Source organism: Homo sapiens, chromosome 7 (genome assembly GCF_000001405.40).
Source record: "Homo sapiens chromosome 7, GRCh38.p14 Primary Assembly".
Classification (NCBI taxonomy): Eukaryota; Metazoa; Chordata; class Mammalia; order Primates; family Hominidae; genus Homo; species Homo sapiens.
The window spans coordinates 18,186,897-18,204,447 of NC_000007.14; the positions used below are offsets into that span (position 1 = coordinate 18,186,897).

Sequence of the window (17,551 nt, forward strand, 5' to 3'; positions counted from 1 at the left end):
AAGTAAAACAATATTTACTCTACAGAACTACTTAAATTAGAATGCCTGTGTGGTATACTTGGACTGACTTTTACTTCCCCAAAGTGTTCAAAACCCCTAGGCATTTAAGCAACTTTCAGTGTATTAGTTACTGCCTAATGGGCAAACCCTATGATCTTTTCTCAGTCTTCATAGAATTATAGCAGTAATAATTTATTATTCAATAAGTGTACATTGAGTACCTACTATGTCCCTGGAATGGGTTTAAGTCATTGGAAATAACAGTCAGTGAAAATAAAGGCGGGCAAAAATGAAATTGTCTATTAAGCACCTAATGTGGACAAAGTGTTACATATAATCTCATTGAATCTTCACAGCAATCCTGTGACATAGGTTTTACTGGCATTACTTATAAATGAGGATACTGAGGGTCAGAGAGTTTAAGAGGCATGTCTGGCACATCCTAGCAAGGAGAAAAGTAGAACTGGGATTAAAACCCTATTCTATCTTCTTTTCTAGCAAGTGGCTTTTCTTGTGACCATTTATTTGTTAATTCATTTATTCATACTTCACTCAGTAGTCGTTTGACTTTCTTCTTTCTATGAACATCACAGATATTTTCTTAGCCACCTGTGGTTAAAACCATGGCACCATCTTTAAAACTCTTAACTCTATTCCCCTCCACATCAAATCTGTTCCAATCTTGACAAACCTTGTCTTCCATTTTTGTTGCCAACCTTTTGCACTTATTACTCCTTGCTGCTACTATTCTACTAGACTTAGAACTAGTCTACTTTCCCTCTCCCCTCCATTCAGCCTAATCCATACAGTGTTGCCTAGTGAATCTTACTAAAGCACAAATCTAATTATGTAATTTCTCGAAAATCTTCCATGGCTTGCCATGGCCTACAGAAATTGTCAGTAATCACAAGGCATTCCTACTGTCAAGGGTATAGGGCAAACCATATTTTCAGCCTTCTTCAGTGTGCTTCTTCCTGTGCACAAAATTCATGTTTCCCAGGCTTGTCTGATAAGAATCACCTGGGGCTAAAATAATTCATAGATTCAGTGGTATTCCCATCAAAATACCATTGACATTCTTCACAGAATTAGAAAAAACTATTTTAAATTTCATATGGAATCAAAGAAGACCCTGTGCAGCCAAGACAATCTTAAGCAAAAAGAACAAAGCTGGAGGCATCATGCTACCTGATTTCAAACTATACTACAAGTCTACAGTAACCAAAACAGCATGGTACTGGTACCAAGACAGACATATAGACCAATGGAGCAGAACAGAGGCCTCAGAAATAGCACCACACATCTACAACCATCTGATCTTTGACAAAACTGACAAAAACAAGCAATGAGGAAAGGATTTCCTGTTAAATAAATGGCGTTGGGAAAACTGGCTAGCTATATGCAGAAAATTGAAACTGGACCCCTTCCTTACACCTTATACAAAAATTAATTCAAGATGGATTAAAGACTTAAATGTAAAACCTCACACCATAAAAACCCTAGAAGAAAACCTAGGCAGTTTCATTCAGGACGTAGGCATGAGCAAAGACTTCATGACAAAAACGCCAAAAGCAATTGCAACAAAAGCCAAAATTGACAAATGGGATCTAATTAAACTAAAGAGCTTCTGCACAGCAAAAGAAACTATCAGAGTGAACAGGCAACTTACAGAATGGGAGAAAATTTTTGCAATCTACCCATCTGACAAAGGTCTAATATCCAGAATTTACAGGGAACTTAAACATATTTACAAGAAAAAGACAACCCTATCAAAAAGTGGGCAAAGGATATGAACAGACGCTTCTCAAAAGAAGACGTTTACATAGCCAGCGAACATGTGAAAAAATCTCAACATCACTGATCATCAGAGAAATGCAAATCAAAACCACAATGAGATACTATCTCATGCCAGTTAGAATGGCGATTATTAAAAAGTCAGGAAACAATAAGATGCTGGCGAGGCTTTGGAGAAATAGGAATGCTTTTACACTGTTGGTGGGGATGAAAATTAGTTCAACCATTGTGGAAGACAGTATGGCAATTCCTCAAGGATCTAGAATCAGAAATACCATTTGACCCAGCAATCCCATTACTGGGTATATGCCCAAAGGAATATAAATCATTCTGCTATAAAGACAAATGTACATGTATGTTTATTGCAGCACTATTTACAATAGCAAAGACATGGAACCAACCCAAATGCCCATCAATGATAGACTGGCTAAAGAAAATGTGGTACATATACACCATGGAATACTGTGCATCCATAAAAAGGAATGAGATCATGTCCTTTGCAGGGACACGGATGAAGCTGGAAGCCATCATCCTCAGCAAACTAACACAGGAACAGAAAACCAAACACCGCATGTTCTCACTCGTAAGCAGGAGTTGAACATTGAGAACACATCACACAGAGAGGGGAACAACACACTCCAGGGCCTGTTGAGGGGTGGGGGGTGAGGGGAGGGAATTTAGAGGACAGGTCAATAGGTGCAGCAAACCACCATGGCACATATATACCTATGTGACAAACCTGCACATTCTGTACATGTATCCTGTTTTTGTTTGTTTGTTTGTTTGTTTTAGAAGAAATAAAGAAAAAAAAGAATCACGTGGGGCTTATTAGTATGTGAGTTCCCAGACCCCACTTGACCATACTGAGCCAGAATCTGCAAGGATTTACAGAGCCTTGTGGGGCATGGTAAGACTGGTGTTCCTCCCAAAGACCCAGAACACAGGTGCATGCCTGTGATTATCCTAGGTCTCTTGCTAGCACTGTGTGTTGAGGTAGTCAGCCAGTGTCATCTGATGTGATGACACTTTGTCATATCTGAGACCTCCCAGTCACCCTTTCTCACGCATTACTGAGGTGCAAACCAAGTGTCAAAAAACCCAAAGACACATTAATTAAATTGAATCCTCCAAAGAAGTGTTTTTCTCACATTTTTAAGAGCATGAGATATTTTTATGTGAGCACAATGTGAAACACATAAAAAGATTTAACTTGTAAATAACTTGTGTGTGGTGTGTGTGTGTGTGTGTGTGTGTGTGTGTACGTTTGAGACAGAGTTTTGCTCTTGTTGCCCAGGCTGGAGTACAGTGGCACGATCTCAGCTCACTGCAACCTCTGCCTCCCGGGTTCAAGCAATTCTTCTGCCTCAACCTCCCAACTAGCTGGGATTACAGGTGCCTGCCACCATGCCTGGCAAATTATTTTTTGTATTTTTAGTAGAGATGGGGTTTCACCATGTTGGCCAGGCTGGTCTCAAAACTCCTGACCTCAGTTGTCCCACCAATCTTACCCTCGCAAAGTGCTGGGATTACAGGCGTGAGCCACCACGCCCGGCCATAAATAACTTGTTTAGCTCATATGTGATTGTCCAATTTTGGGCATGTATACATAGATACATATACATATATAAATGTATATAAATAAATATGTGTATATGTGTACATAAATGATTATGGGCATATGTATTTGTGTGTTTGAATATATGTGCTTAGGGATAGGGACACACATGTACATGCATAGATGACTTGCCTTCGCCAAAATTTATACAGATGTTTCTCAACTTACAATGGGGCTATATCCTGATAAACCCATTATAAGTCAAAAAATTGTAATTATAAACTGGCTTATAAAAAGACCACCCAATATTGCAAGATAAAAGGCATTAACTGTAAGATTATGATGCAAGAGGAAAATAATGACCAGAAAATAAGTTGGAGTGGAAAACGTTTCTCTAAAACTTTCTACGCTATCATTGAAATAGCTATTAAATAATATATTGAAATAAAGATTGTTGCTTTTCTCTTTTTATTTTCCCAATTTTCACTCTTATTAAGTAAAATTACTCAGCTTTTAAAATCACTTGTATCATCTCACTGTGTATTTACAGATTTTTTGCTTCTCAGAAATTTCTGTATGTCCCAAATTCCTTTTAAATATTTAAATATTATGCATGTTTTACCTTTGTAAACTCCTACCTTTGTAAAACATGCGGAATATTATTTATCTCATGGATTTCACCCACTGTCAAAAGTCTACTTCCCTATCACCAATAAATACTTGAATACTATTAAGTGATAATTTTTTAGAATCACAGGGATCAAACTATAGTTGACTTTTGAACAACACAGGGATTAAGGGTGCTATCACCACCCCCAGTGGAAAATTCATGTGTAACTTTTTGACTCCCTGAGAACTTAACCATTAATACCCTACTGTTGACTGGAAGCCTTACTGATAACATAAACCATTGATTAACACATTATTTTATGTTGTATGTATTATATACTGTATTCTTACAATAAAGTAAGCTATACAAAAAAATTAAGAAAATCATAAGGAAGGAAAGATATATTGCCATTTATTAGCTGTGTGGGTGAAGAAAAGTTACTTAACTTGACTACGCTCAGTTTATTCATTAAATAATCTTTGCAGACCTGGTAAGCACTGGATGAAATAATGTAATAAGACAAAAATGTGAAGATTTTCTCCATAGTCTTATCACTCTGTATCATAATTTAATCATGTTTCTTTACACGGTTTCTCAATTCCTGAGAGAATGATTTTAGACAAACCCAGAGAACTCTCTTTGAATATCATTCTTTGTTTCAAATGTATTTCCTTGTGGCAGGAAACGATAAACACACATGGCACAGACAGCTAGTGACTGAAGGGGAAGTTAATGGTGTTTGTTTTTCCTCCAGAATTAGTAGTTCAGAAATTAAAAATAAAAATGTGGCTTGCCAAGTTTGTAAACTACACAGAATTCTTTGATTACAAGATGACAATGAATTTAATTTTTTTGACATTTGTATTTCTTTGATACTTATGAATTGAAATGTTTTGAAAACTTATGAATTTGCAGCTTTACATTTTATAAACTATAATGATTAAAATATCCAAATCCATTAATTTCTTCCTTGCCCTGTAAACTTGAAAACTGAGAAAAGATTTAGAGTAAAGCATTTTGAAATCATTGACAAGCACAAATACTGTTAGATTCTATGTCAAGATTGTATTGCTGCCCTTGAGGAGACATTATACGTGCTTTCTAAGCTATGACGAGAAGACATAAACAAGGTCTTTCCCCAGCTATGTGCTAGAAAAAAACCCTTAATTGTGATTGTACAGTATTGCTTGATGCAAAAGTCAACTCATTTTTCACCAGGGATTCCTGTCCATTCCTGGAAATGAGGTAGGATGAACCCGGCCGGGGGGCGGGGGGGTGTCACAGTAGAAGGTGGTGGTTTAGGAAAATCTACAAGTGACGGTAAATACTATTCTAGAAAGTTAATTTTTTTTTATTTCAGGGAGCAAATCCTTTATATTTGGCAGGTAGAATGCAACTTCTTGGTAGTGTCTTTCATTTAATTAAAATTAAGATTGATGTGGCTTGCTGCTGCTGCGTAATATCATTCTGACTTTTGCATAGCTATTGCATTTGTAAATATTCAAATGCACTTTGTTATGGATAAAAGGGAGTTCCTTGGGTAGATGTTTAACTTTTATTGCAAAACCTCTTGTGCTCACTTACGTTGCCAGATTTGGTAGTAGTCATGCACCCTGGGAAAATCACTGGCAAAGCAGTGGAGTGGAAAGGAATCATGGGTATTTACTGTGAGGAGAAGGGAAGGTAAAGGTGTTGTAGGGGTTATATCATTTCACTCAGGAATTTGCTTTTGGAAATGTCATTAAGGATATAGTATTTGGGGATGGTAGGTATTTTTAGAATGTTTCTAAGTAAAATCACGATTTTTCTTTTAATGCACTGTGAAGAAATCATCTAGTCCAGTGCTCATGAAATCAATTTAGTAGGTTGCAATTCAACAATGGAATAGAATAGGCTAAAATACAACATGCCAGAATGCACACACGTTGTAACATTTAGTGTTAATTTATGAGACTGCATGAGTTTTATATAGATAAGCATGTTTCTATATATATGTGCATTGTATTTAATATGTATTTCTCAGTATGAGTAGCTGTTGAAAAAGCTTAAAAGCCACTGATTGACTTTTTCTCCCATTTTACAGATGAGGAAACTGAAAGAGGCTGATTCTCATTTTATTTGAGTGGGTCTCCTTGAGGCAGCTTATCTGTCATCAGGGGTCTCTTGTTATAATCTGTTTAATTACCTATGCATCTTTTACAATTTTTCACCCTTGCTCAAAAATTGCTATATTTTTGTGACCAGAAATTGGATCAAAGATGCTGATTCTGGGGAGATAATCTTTGCTGAGTCTCTGAGCACCATGTTGGATGGGTAGTTGGTGCTTGTAATACCAAGGGGAAAAGAACAGAATATTTATAGCTCTCTGTAGAGGTAAGATCTTAGGTAAAGTCAGATGAAAAGGTGGAACAATAATCTAATACATTTCATCAATAGATACAACAAATCACCATTAGCTTCTACCATTTGTTTCAGTTCAGTTCAACAAATATTTATTGAGCTCCTACTTAGTATCAGGTATTTTAAAAGCTAGCCACTTACTTCCTTCTTTATGATAAATTAATTAGTCAAACAATTAAATTATTCTCTCCCTTTGCTTGTGGTGTACAGGGAGATTTACTGAAGTAAAAGGGGGTTTCGTTTGTCAAAGATGAAAGAGATGTAGCGCCATGCTATATAACACAATATGCTACTTGGAAATCTGTTATGCCTTATCTAGAAATGTTCCTAATATCTTGAACTCCACCTTTCACTCATTAGGAAGTCCTGCAATATAAAGCTCACCTATAATATTTTCTCTATATTTGCTCTCATAACACATTGATTTATATTGAACTTTCTCCTTGTTGCTATTTATACAGTGTCAGTTCTGCTCTATGAGCTGATTTTTTTTTTCTCTGACTACCTGAGAATTGAGGCAGCAGGGCCAAGGGGGCCGACTTGCCACGTGAGGTTTTGTCTTTCCCACCTTGTTAGGCTGCTTCTTTGCCTTTCTGCCTGGCAATTCCTGAAGGTGGTGTTCTGTTTTATCTCTTTTTTGTTTTTAAAGTGTTTGTGCAAAGCATATTATTCTGTTTTTACTTTGCTTCTTAATTGAGTATCGGCCATGTAACTTATTGTTTGAAGCAGTTACAGCATCAGGGAATAGTCCCAAATGGCACGATGAGCCTGATTTTTCCTGATGGCTGTCACTGTGGAAAGGGACACCCATGAGGTCGGTCCAAGCCAAAGAAAGGAGATGTATAAGTACAGCCTAATCTTATTAGTGGGTCTAGAAAAACTGCTTCTTTATTAACTGTCAGTCTTTTAAATCTTTGCTAATTATAACGATTAAACATGATATTTTGTAGTCATTTCTACTTGCATTCTTGATTATTAGTAGTTTTGAGCTTTTTTACATATCTCTGTAGGATTTTCTTCCCATGTTTGGAATTTCTGTTTGTGTCCTTTGGTTATTTTTCTTTTAGACTATTCTGTTTTGTTATTGATTTATAAGACCTTTTTTCTATCCTATTGAAATTAATCATTTTCATTGTGGTTAAATTTTATCATTTTAACATATTTTGAGTGTGCACTTTAGTGGCATTAAGTACATTCACACCATTTGCCACCCTCACCGTTGTCCCATCTCCAGAAATTTCCCGTTATCCCAAACTGAAAAAAACCATGGTAGGTGCTATGAAAATAGGCCCAAGGGCCTCTTCGATTCTTAACAAGAGAGATGCTAACCCCTTTTTTCCCACAACACTAGTAACACTTCTTGAATCATCTAATCCCCTAATTATTTCTCTGGATCCAGTGCTGCCATGATGATTGCAACTTCATTTTAAAGATGTATTCATACATTAAATAAACAGGCAAACAGCTGTTCTCATATGACCATCTTATTGAGCAAATTCTGTTTTGTTTAGTCTTTATAGTTCTTCCACTTGTTATTTAATCTACTGGTGTTTGATGTTTTCCTTGCTTGCCAATGTGGTATTTCCAGCTGTGCATGGAAATTAATTTTCTATTTGAATAGACAATTCCAGGAAATTATCTATTAAGGTTATAGGAGGCAAAGAGAATGTTGCTTTATAGTTTTGTGTGTGTGTGTGTGTGTGTGTGGTGTTCTTGGCATTATAAGGAGGAAAGGTTGGTTTAAGAGTTCATGATTGCCAGTTTTTGTTTTTAACTAATATTACTTAAATAAAACAAACTCTGCCACTGGTCACAAACGCTGTCAATAATAGGAAGTATGGGGAACTGAAAACTTATTCTCTATCTGAAACAACAATTCTAAATGGATTGCTCATGGACTCTGAAACCTTTTTTGGACAATAGACCTCTTTGTGTATCTGACAGATTCTGTGGAACCTCAAAACCTAAGGTTCCCATATTTTTATCTAAAACCCTAGTTGAGATGCATTTTGGAGTCAAGAATTTATCAGATTTTAAAAAGGTAGTATGATTTAAAAAATGTATTGGGTTTTCAAAAGTACCATATACCCCCATATTACCTATCACCTTTAATGGGGTCTGGGATGGTTCCCTATAATCAAAAAATAGTATTTCTGCAGTTAAATTCATAGATCTTAATCTTAAATGAGATAAATAAAAACATGAAATAGCCTCACATCTGTGTAGGTCAGTTTATGCTGCCAGATAAGTTGAGGTTTGTTGCCAAACAATTTCTGAAAAATCTTTTGTTCTTTAGGATCAGTGATAAGGGACAAACACAATTTCACCTATACTCTAGGGGGTTCCACTGTTCTTGGTCAGGAGTGTTTTGGCTCCATGCTTCAGCCGGGCCTGCTTCTCCTCAGCCCTACTCAAGTCATGGACTTAGCATTTTCACTGTTACAGACATTTTTGCTTCTGGAGTTCTGCACCTGTCACTTTTTTGATGAATTTAATCCTCTTTTTTGCAGCCATATCGTATATGGGCTCTCATTCTTTATACTCAATATGTTTGCCGTTATGTATAAATGTTTCATCATAACGTGAACACATATATTATGTTCATCATCATCCCTATTCCTTTGTATTGGTTAAAAAATTGGTTATTCTCAATACTTGAAATGCCTTTTTTCTGTCTTCCTCCTGTTAATTTATCCTCTACCCCATCATTGTACCAGGATAACCGATTTTCTCCTTCTTTTATATTCTCTATATTCTTTTAAAGCTTTGTGTCTACCACTGTTTTAGCATGCATTACATTCCTCCATAATTATTTGAATATTTATCCATCTCTTATATAAGACTGCACATTTCTTGAGAGTAATACCTCTTTATATATCCATTGCCTTGCACAGTGCCTGGCACATACAGATTCAAAGCTTTTCAGCCCAAGATAAATAGAAGGTGTACATTTGGAGCCAGTGGGGTAAGATTGGAGACATGAGAAAGAGGGATGTACAATCTTAATAAATTAGAGTTCAAGACAGAATAGTGTAGAGGAACAGTGATTTTGTTTAGTTTATGTGCACATGAGGATTAGGAAATTAAATGATATATATGGTTTGGAGAATGGAGAAATTTCAAAAAGGAGGTAAAGCTTCAGACAAACCTGGGCAAATGGATGAGATTGGGATGGAATAGGCAAAGAAGAATGTACAGTGCTTTCAGAGAAGGGAGTATGTTGAGGAGCGAATTGGCATTGGTGGCTGAACAAGATATTTAAGCTATTGCCAAACTATAATGGAAGTTCTGAATTATGAGATGATGGAAGAAAAAGGTCAGTAGGCCAAATGGTGCTGGATTATGTAAAGCAATATATAATAAGAAAAAGAATTCGATCTATTCAGAGTAAGGTGTCATTATAAGTTAAGGAGTAGAACAGGGATGGTAAGATAAAAAACATTTCTGAAAATAAATGTGTCCACAGCGTACGCAGTGATGCCTGAACTAAAAAGGGTGTAGGGGTGTGGGGCTGAGTTGTTTTACATCATAAGGACCTGAACCGAGAAGACAGTAATGAGACTGGAGAAAAGGGTGTGAAACTTTTGAAAAGTAAAACCATAGTGTGATAGTTAATTTCTTGTGTCAACTGGAGTGGGCTACAGGTTGCCCAGATACTTGGTCAAACACTACTTAGGGTGATACTGTGAGGGTGATTTTAGATGAGGCTGACATTTAAATCAGTAGACTGAGTAGAGCAGATTGCCCCCTTTAATGGGGATGGGCCTCATGCAATTGGTTGAAGGCCTGAGTAGAGCAAAAGGCTGACCCCCCTTATGTAAGAGAGAATTCTCTTGCCTGACAGTCTTTAAACTGGGACATTGACCATTACTGGTTCTGCAGTAGCCTTCTGGCTTCTGACTCAAAACTGGGAAATCAGCTCTGCAGCTTTTGGACTTGCCAGACCCCTTAATCATGTGAGCCAATTCCTTATAATCAGTCTCCCTTTCTTTCTCTCTTTCTCTGGAGAACCCTGACTAATACGCGTAGTATATGGAGACTGACTAGATATGGGAGCCACAGGAGTTGAGAAAGGAATTAACAATTACTTAGGAATGGGAATGGAGAAATTGAAAAGGGCAGTCAATTTTGATGGAAAATATATTTGGTTTTGATTTTGTTGACTCTGAAGTGATATTGGAGATTCAAGTTAAATTACTGTAAGCAGCTGTAGTGAGGTAGGTAGCTTGTGTGGGTGAGGCTGGATGTTGCATCTTTGAATCATCTACAAGTAGGGCAAAAGAAGTTACGTGACAGAACAGAGTTCACAGGTGAATGAGAGAGACAAGCATAGGCAAGGATTTGACTGAGGTTCTTCAGGTGGGAATTATGGGGCTAGAGGAGAAAGATGAGCCAGTGTATAAAAATATTGGTGGCAGAGCTCTCTTGACATTGGTTTGTCAGCCTCTTGCACCAGAATGTAAGCTCCATGAGGCCAACAATTTACTCAGTCCTTTTTCCCTAGCTTTAAGTGTTGTACTTCAGATATTTGAGATTTGTAGACATTGTTTTTTCTTCATTTTCCACTTGAGACAAAGCCTTTTAAGGAAAACTGAACCAGGAATTAGGATTTATTTGCTGTAATCTTGACTTTGCACTTAGATATAGAGACTGAGGTTTGACTTTTTAATTCCTAGGATTTTGACTCCTTTTTCAAAAAATGAGGAGATTGGATTAAGAATTTGTAGGATTCCTTACAACTCAAAAGTTATGGAGAAAAATATCTATAGGCTGAAAATTGTTCTAAGCTGCAAAAATGGCCTTGAGTAACTTCAGAAAATAAACATTAAAGCAAATCATCTTTTATATCCCTTTTTTGAATGTTTTATTTATTTAATATCAATCAAAATACTGTAATAGATTAAATAAATCAAAACACATATAATCTTGTCTAGAAGCAGCTTTGGACTAAAAATTTTCTTCGCAAAATATTAAAGGTGTGACTTTTAAAGAAAATCTCTTAATACAGGACCTAACCCCATTTTATATAGCATTAAGTTAATATAACTGTAAAAAAGAAAAAAATATAAGCAGCATTTTTCTTTTAATATCAACACCATAGAGAAATTTTGGTTCTTATGGAAATTTTATTCTATTACAAATCTTCCAACTGTAAAATCTTCTCTTAGAGTTGATTATGTAATTGAAAACAAAGGGAAGAATCAGTGGCTCAAATGGTCCTGTGTTTACCATACTTCATTCAAAATTCTCTTGCATCTCCTCATATGTTTCTAGATATGTTAACATCATACAATCTCACAATATCCATTTTTAATTTATGCAAGAATACTTTCTGTTTTGAATAGCACATTATTCTAGGTTATATCCAATGTCAGTTTTGGGTATTTGATCAATATGTGATGGTTAAATTATAGATGGCTAACTTTTTTTCCTAATTGTACAATTTGAAATATGGTGAATTTCCAAAAAATAGTTTGGAGAAAATATGAACTCTATTTTAAAAATGTGCATGTATGTTGATATCATGTATTTGACATAGAAACTGTCAAACAGAAATAGATGTCATAAACTTTAATTCAAAGGCATTAGACTACTAGCACTAACAACCAACATTTTTTTTTTATCAAATAGAACTTATTTTGCCCCCAGGATCATGCGTTGTTTTAGATATTAATTAACATTATAATTGTCTTCTCACTTTCTGGTATGCAGGGGTACTCTCCATGACCAATCTTTGTCATTTATCACCTATAGTGTAAAATTTCCATCAGGAAACAATCTTCTGCCTTGAACTACCAAAGTGCTGATTTTGCTTTTTGTCATTAAGTTTTTTGTTTGTTTGTTTGTTTGTTTTAATTTGCTTTAGAGCTTCTTTATTGAGGACAACTAACAGTTAAGAGTTTTCTTGGGGAATAGTGTCACAGCAAGAATCACACATAGACTTTTCAGATACAATTCTTCTATCTCCAAAGTAATGCTAGAAATATTGTTGATTTACAATAGATATAATTTAAAATTATTTATTTTTATTTTCCACAGATCCCAATTTCTGGATTTCTTGTGAAGTTTAATAATTTATCCTTGGATTCATTTTATTTTTGTTTATATTTATATAGAAGGCATTTAGCCATTCATGTTGATCAGCTGACCTCTTAGTTCCATTTGTATAATGTAATATCTGGTTATATAAACCCAAGGATCTGCTGTTATTGTTTGCTCTGCAATCTGATAGATAAGAGATTAAAATAGGGTGGGTGTAGTGGCTCATGCCTGTAATCCTAATGCTTTGGTAGGCCAAGGCAGAAGGATTGTTTGAGGCCAGGAGTTTGCGACCAGCCTGGGCAACATAGTGCGACCTGTCTTTACAAGACATAAAAAAATTAGTTGGGCGTGGTGGCATGCTGAAGTCCCAACACTCTGGGAGGCTGAGGCAGGAGGGCTGCTTGAGGTCATGGTTTCAAGACCAGCCTGGACAACATAGTGAAGTCATGTGTCTACCAAAAAAAAAAAAAAAAAAAAAAAAAGGCTGTGCTTAGTGTTGCACATCTGTAGTCCTACCACGCAGGAGGCTGAGATGGGAGCGAGGATTGCTGGAGCCCAGGAATTTGAGGCTGCAGTGAGCTATGATCACACCACTGCCCTCCAGCTTGGGGGACAGAGTAAGACCTTGTCTCTGAAACAAAAAACAGAGAGAGAAAAAAAATAATAAGATGTATGTATTCAGAAACATAAAAAAGCAAGAGTAAAACTTTTGTGACAACTTTGTTCCATTTATAAGTCACACTAATGACTGATTTGCTTCTTAGTAATTTTCCATTTGTAACATTTTGTACCTGGATACACAAATGTAATGCAATTGAACAAGAAAACAATTATCTGTCTGCTGGAAATAATGTACTTATCTCATTGAAACAATTGACTTGTTTAAAAATACACAGGTCTGTTCAGACTGCAGTTACCTGTAATTTGTAATGAATTTCCAGGAAGAATTAAAATCCTCTGATGTAATTGAATCAGTAGTTGAAAACACTGATTGTGAATGATAAATTTCCATGCATAATTCCCCTCTTATATAAACCTCCATTTGGAGCCATTTTAGATTTGAGAGGTTTTTTCAATATTCTATGAGTTTTGGCTGGATCCCTGGAAAACTTCACTCAAAGGCTGTATCTTCCAGTGAAAGCTTCATGTTGACTTGTGGGTTCTGTGTCAGTGGAACGTTTCAGTACTTTTTGGCCTGGCTCAAATGTTTCTTGGCATTTTCTGTGGAGTTTGGCCCAACCAATCTATAGTATCACATTGGACTCCAGATAAACCCTAAAAGCCGTAATTCATCCGCAAGCTAATATGGGACTTTATTGGGGTTTGGTAGTAGACTAACACCATCGAGCAATTGGGAGTTCAACATTATGAATGATATTTCTAAGGACATATCTATCTGAAAAATCATACAAAGAGAAGCTACTTTTCCTTTAGCCCAGCACTTATTTTTCTCAGAGGTCTCTTTCACAGAGGTCAATGTCCTATTTTAATTCGTTATTATAATTTTTTCCCTCCTCAGCAGTTTCTAAACCTATTGCAGATCAACAGCTTTTTCTTCTTTCTTAAAGTGAGATGGCTCTGGCTCTTGGCTGACTTCAGTCTTGTGATGTGGGACTGATGTGCGTTTTCATTTTTCACTTTGAAGGTGCTGCCAAAGCTAGTTAATTTTAGTTATACCATCATAGAATGCTGGAGCCTGTAGGTGCCCTAGAAATGGTTTGGTACAGCCTCCTCGTTTTACACATAAGGGGAGCCAGGCCCAGTTCCTTAGTTCTCACAGGAAGCTACGGCACTGTTAGGATGGAACTCGTGTCCGCCTCGCAACAGAACGGGTCTCTGCAAGTCTATCCGGCTGCTGAAAGATCCACTCCCCATTCCCAGTCTCAGATTTTGTACCTCTGGGTAGTTTTCCTCTTTTCCTTAAAGCTTTTTAAATGTAGCTCCCCATATGTTATATTAATTTGGGAAACCAGCCAACAAATTAGTTTTACATTTGTTAGGATTCTAGGGTGTTATTTATGATACCATTCTCTTTGTGTTCTGAGTCACTAAGAAATAAATATAGGAACAAGACAGAGATCAAAATAATAGCTTCATTATAAACAGTGTTAAATTTTAGAACACATAGTGGACCCAAGGTGGAAGCCAGCTTCTTATGCCTTTAACAGTCCCCTACTGAGCTTAGCCACTCAGTCATAGAGAAGTGTGCAACTGCAGGTTCCTGGTCCAGCCCTCATCTGCAGGGCCCACCCTCAGGGAGGACTAGCTGAGCAGCACCTCTGAGAGACTCCAGGAACCAAGGGCCTCCTGCCAAGGGAAGGGCCTCTTTCTCAAGTCTGGCCAAGTAGAGCAGTCCATACCCACTCATGGAAAGCAGTGTCCTTCAATGGCTCACCTTCTGGTGAGTGTTTCTCTTTCCTTCTTTTCTCTTGCTTTAGCATTCCTGTTTCACACTGGTATTCTGAAACCAATATTAGTATATTTCTTTTCCTTGTAAGATGAGTTATTTTCCCATTATTCTCCTGAATAGAGTTGAAAAAGCAAAGGTAGCAAAATCAGCCTAGGCAACTGATTATTTACAATAGAGAAAAATAAATGAAGAATTAAGTAGCCGGTAATGAGAGATGGCACCATGGGAACGTGCTCAGAATACTTCCCAGTAATGGAAGATGAATAATTTTTCCTGTTCTCTCCTGACCAGGCCATTGTTCTCACATTTTTAAGAAGAGAAAGTTGGGAAAGACTTTTACCTCTCTGTTTACATCTTTGTTTAAGCTCTAGACCTCTGCCAGCACCCACCATTGTATTTTGATAAATATATTCTCAGCCATCTATAGGTGGATTCACATGATCTTGTTTTGCTTTCATTTTCCTGTGATTTTGAATTAAGTAAAATTTCAGATCACAGAACTCTCTTGGAAATTTTAGTTGATTCATGTAGGTAGGTTTCTATAGGTTTCACTATTTCATTTTGTTCCAGATATTTTTCCAATGTTTATCTCTTTTTTTAAATCTTCTACATTAGCTTTCAAGATACTTACTTATGAGAGCCCAGATAATATTTAAGTTTTCTTCATATTAAGGGATTTTTTTTTCCTTCAGATTTCTTGCCTTGTGGTGCATGTTGCACAGACACTTGTACTTAATTCAGAGGTAAATGAAAAGTAATTTACAATTCTAATACTCTTGATACTCATACTTTCTCCTTTACTGTTTTTATGCTTGCAGGTTTCACTTCCTTTTAGTAGGTTGAGGGCCATTTAGATAAAAAAGATACAGAATTGCAGACTAGTAGATTTAAGAGTTTATGTATTATGATTTAAGTTGTTAAGATTTAAGGTGTTCCAGTAGCATACTTGGAGTTGAAATCATGATTATTAAGATGAATTCTTTTTGCGTGAGCAGCTTAACAGACTTCTCTTGAATCACCATAATGTTTTTGCTTCATGGGCATGTCAAGTATCTGTTATAGTGGAACCTGAGAGAGGTCATACAGGAAATAGCATAGAAGTTGTCACAGTACACCTGGAATGATGCTCAAGTGGTTGCCATGGGCTCAGGAGCCATTTGCCTGGGTTGAAACTCAGCTCTTCATTCCTTTGTTTCAGTTTGCTCATCTGCACAATGGGCATACTAATTAAGATATCTACCTCGAAAGTTCTTGTGAGGATTAAATGGATGAATATATGTAAAGCAGTTTAAACGAGTGTCTGAACATTATATATGCTTTATAAATGTGAGCTGTTAAAACAGTCCCCACGTGCCTAATTGGGTGAATAGATCAGGGTTCCTCTGTGTTTTCAAGTGTTTCTCTCAGTACACTATTATTTAGGAAAAATAGACTAAAAAGATATTGTCTGAGGTGTTACTGGCTGATATTTTAAAAGGTGAACCATGCATTAAAAGATTGTGAGTCTAAATTTTGTGTAATTTAATATTAATAAATAACCTGACTTCTTTGATGGTCTACGTGAAATATGAGGATTTCAGGCACTTTGTTTCCACAGCCAAACCGTGTATGTTGTCTTCATTACTGGCACCGATTTTGGCATTTTGATTTTTAAATTATTTTGTGCAGTTTTCACAGTTGCTCCCATTAGAGGGGAAGTATTGAGGAAGTAGTCTTCCAGTTATTGACAGATCTTAAGAAGCATAAAATGGTTTGGTATTTTGGAGAAATGTAGGATAATATAAGACCCAGAGGCATACTATTCCAAGTAGAAAATTTCATCATATAATGCATTTATATGTATGTGGTATATGTGGGTAGGCAAATTCCATCATGAAAGGAATAATGAAGGAACAGTTTTGGGGCAACCTAAAGTTTTACTTTAGTTTGTATAATAATTAACTCAGCTGCATAAATGCCAGGAAAATAATTAGAACAACAGATTATGTTGAATGCCTAAAAAAATGTGTTTAACAACTTTTAATTTTCTTTCCTCCCACACACCACTTCCTAGTTTGTTTCTGGCACACCAGTTGTGTCTCAACACAGCGGCTGATCTGGTAGAGTTGTGTGAACACCTGTGATTGTGGCAGAACAAATTTTCTCCTTCTGGTTACATTTATCGAAAGTAAAAGTAGAAGGAGCACTGTATTTTGGAGGTAATGTAGAGATATAGGGGATAGCCTACCTTTTCTCCAAAGCTATGTATGAGCTTTCAATGTTTTGAAAGCTCATGCATACTGAAGCGTGTGTCCACATGGTGAATGTAAACAAACAAAAGCTGATTGTAACCATCTTGCTTTTCCTAGTTAGATATCAATGGGCTACTATTGGTCAGAGAAACAAAGAGGGACCTCCATTAGTGGGGAAAGGTAAAAAAAATTTAGTGACAGTGAAAGTTTTAAAAATAATATATATTTTTTCTGTTTAAGATATTCCATTATATTTATGACGTTATGAGATTCCTTCAGGAGTGGTTGTTTGATAATCTGTAGTTTACTTAATCATTCCTATGGTGTTACAGACAGATTTATAAAGTTTTGCTATTACAAATTATGGCACCACAAATACCTATTTGAATCTGCCTTTTTTTTTTTTTTTTTTGGAATTATTTACTCAGTTTAAAATTTCTGGCCTGATGTTATTAGGTTAAAGGCTTTGCATATCTTTGTAAGTCAAAGGATGTAGATTTTAACAAATG

General features: G+C 36.3%; 1 protein-coding gene and 1 pseudogene across 7 annotated transcripts in view; one reads left to right on the forward strand and one right to left on the reverse strand.

Annotated features, from left to right (window-relative positions):
• HDAC9 (histone deacetylase 9) overlaps positions 1–17,551 on the forward strand; it is a 915,592-nt gene that overhangs the window by 100,072 nt on the left and 797,969 nt on the right. The window lies entirely within an intron of this gene.
• LOC124900248 (uncharacterized) lies at positions 7,618–7,707 on the reverse strand (annotated as a pseudogene).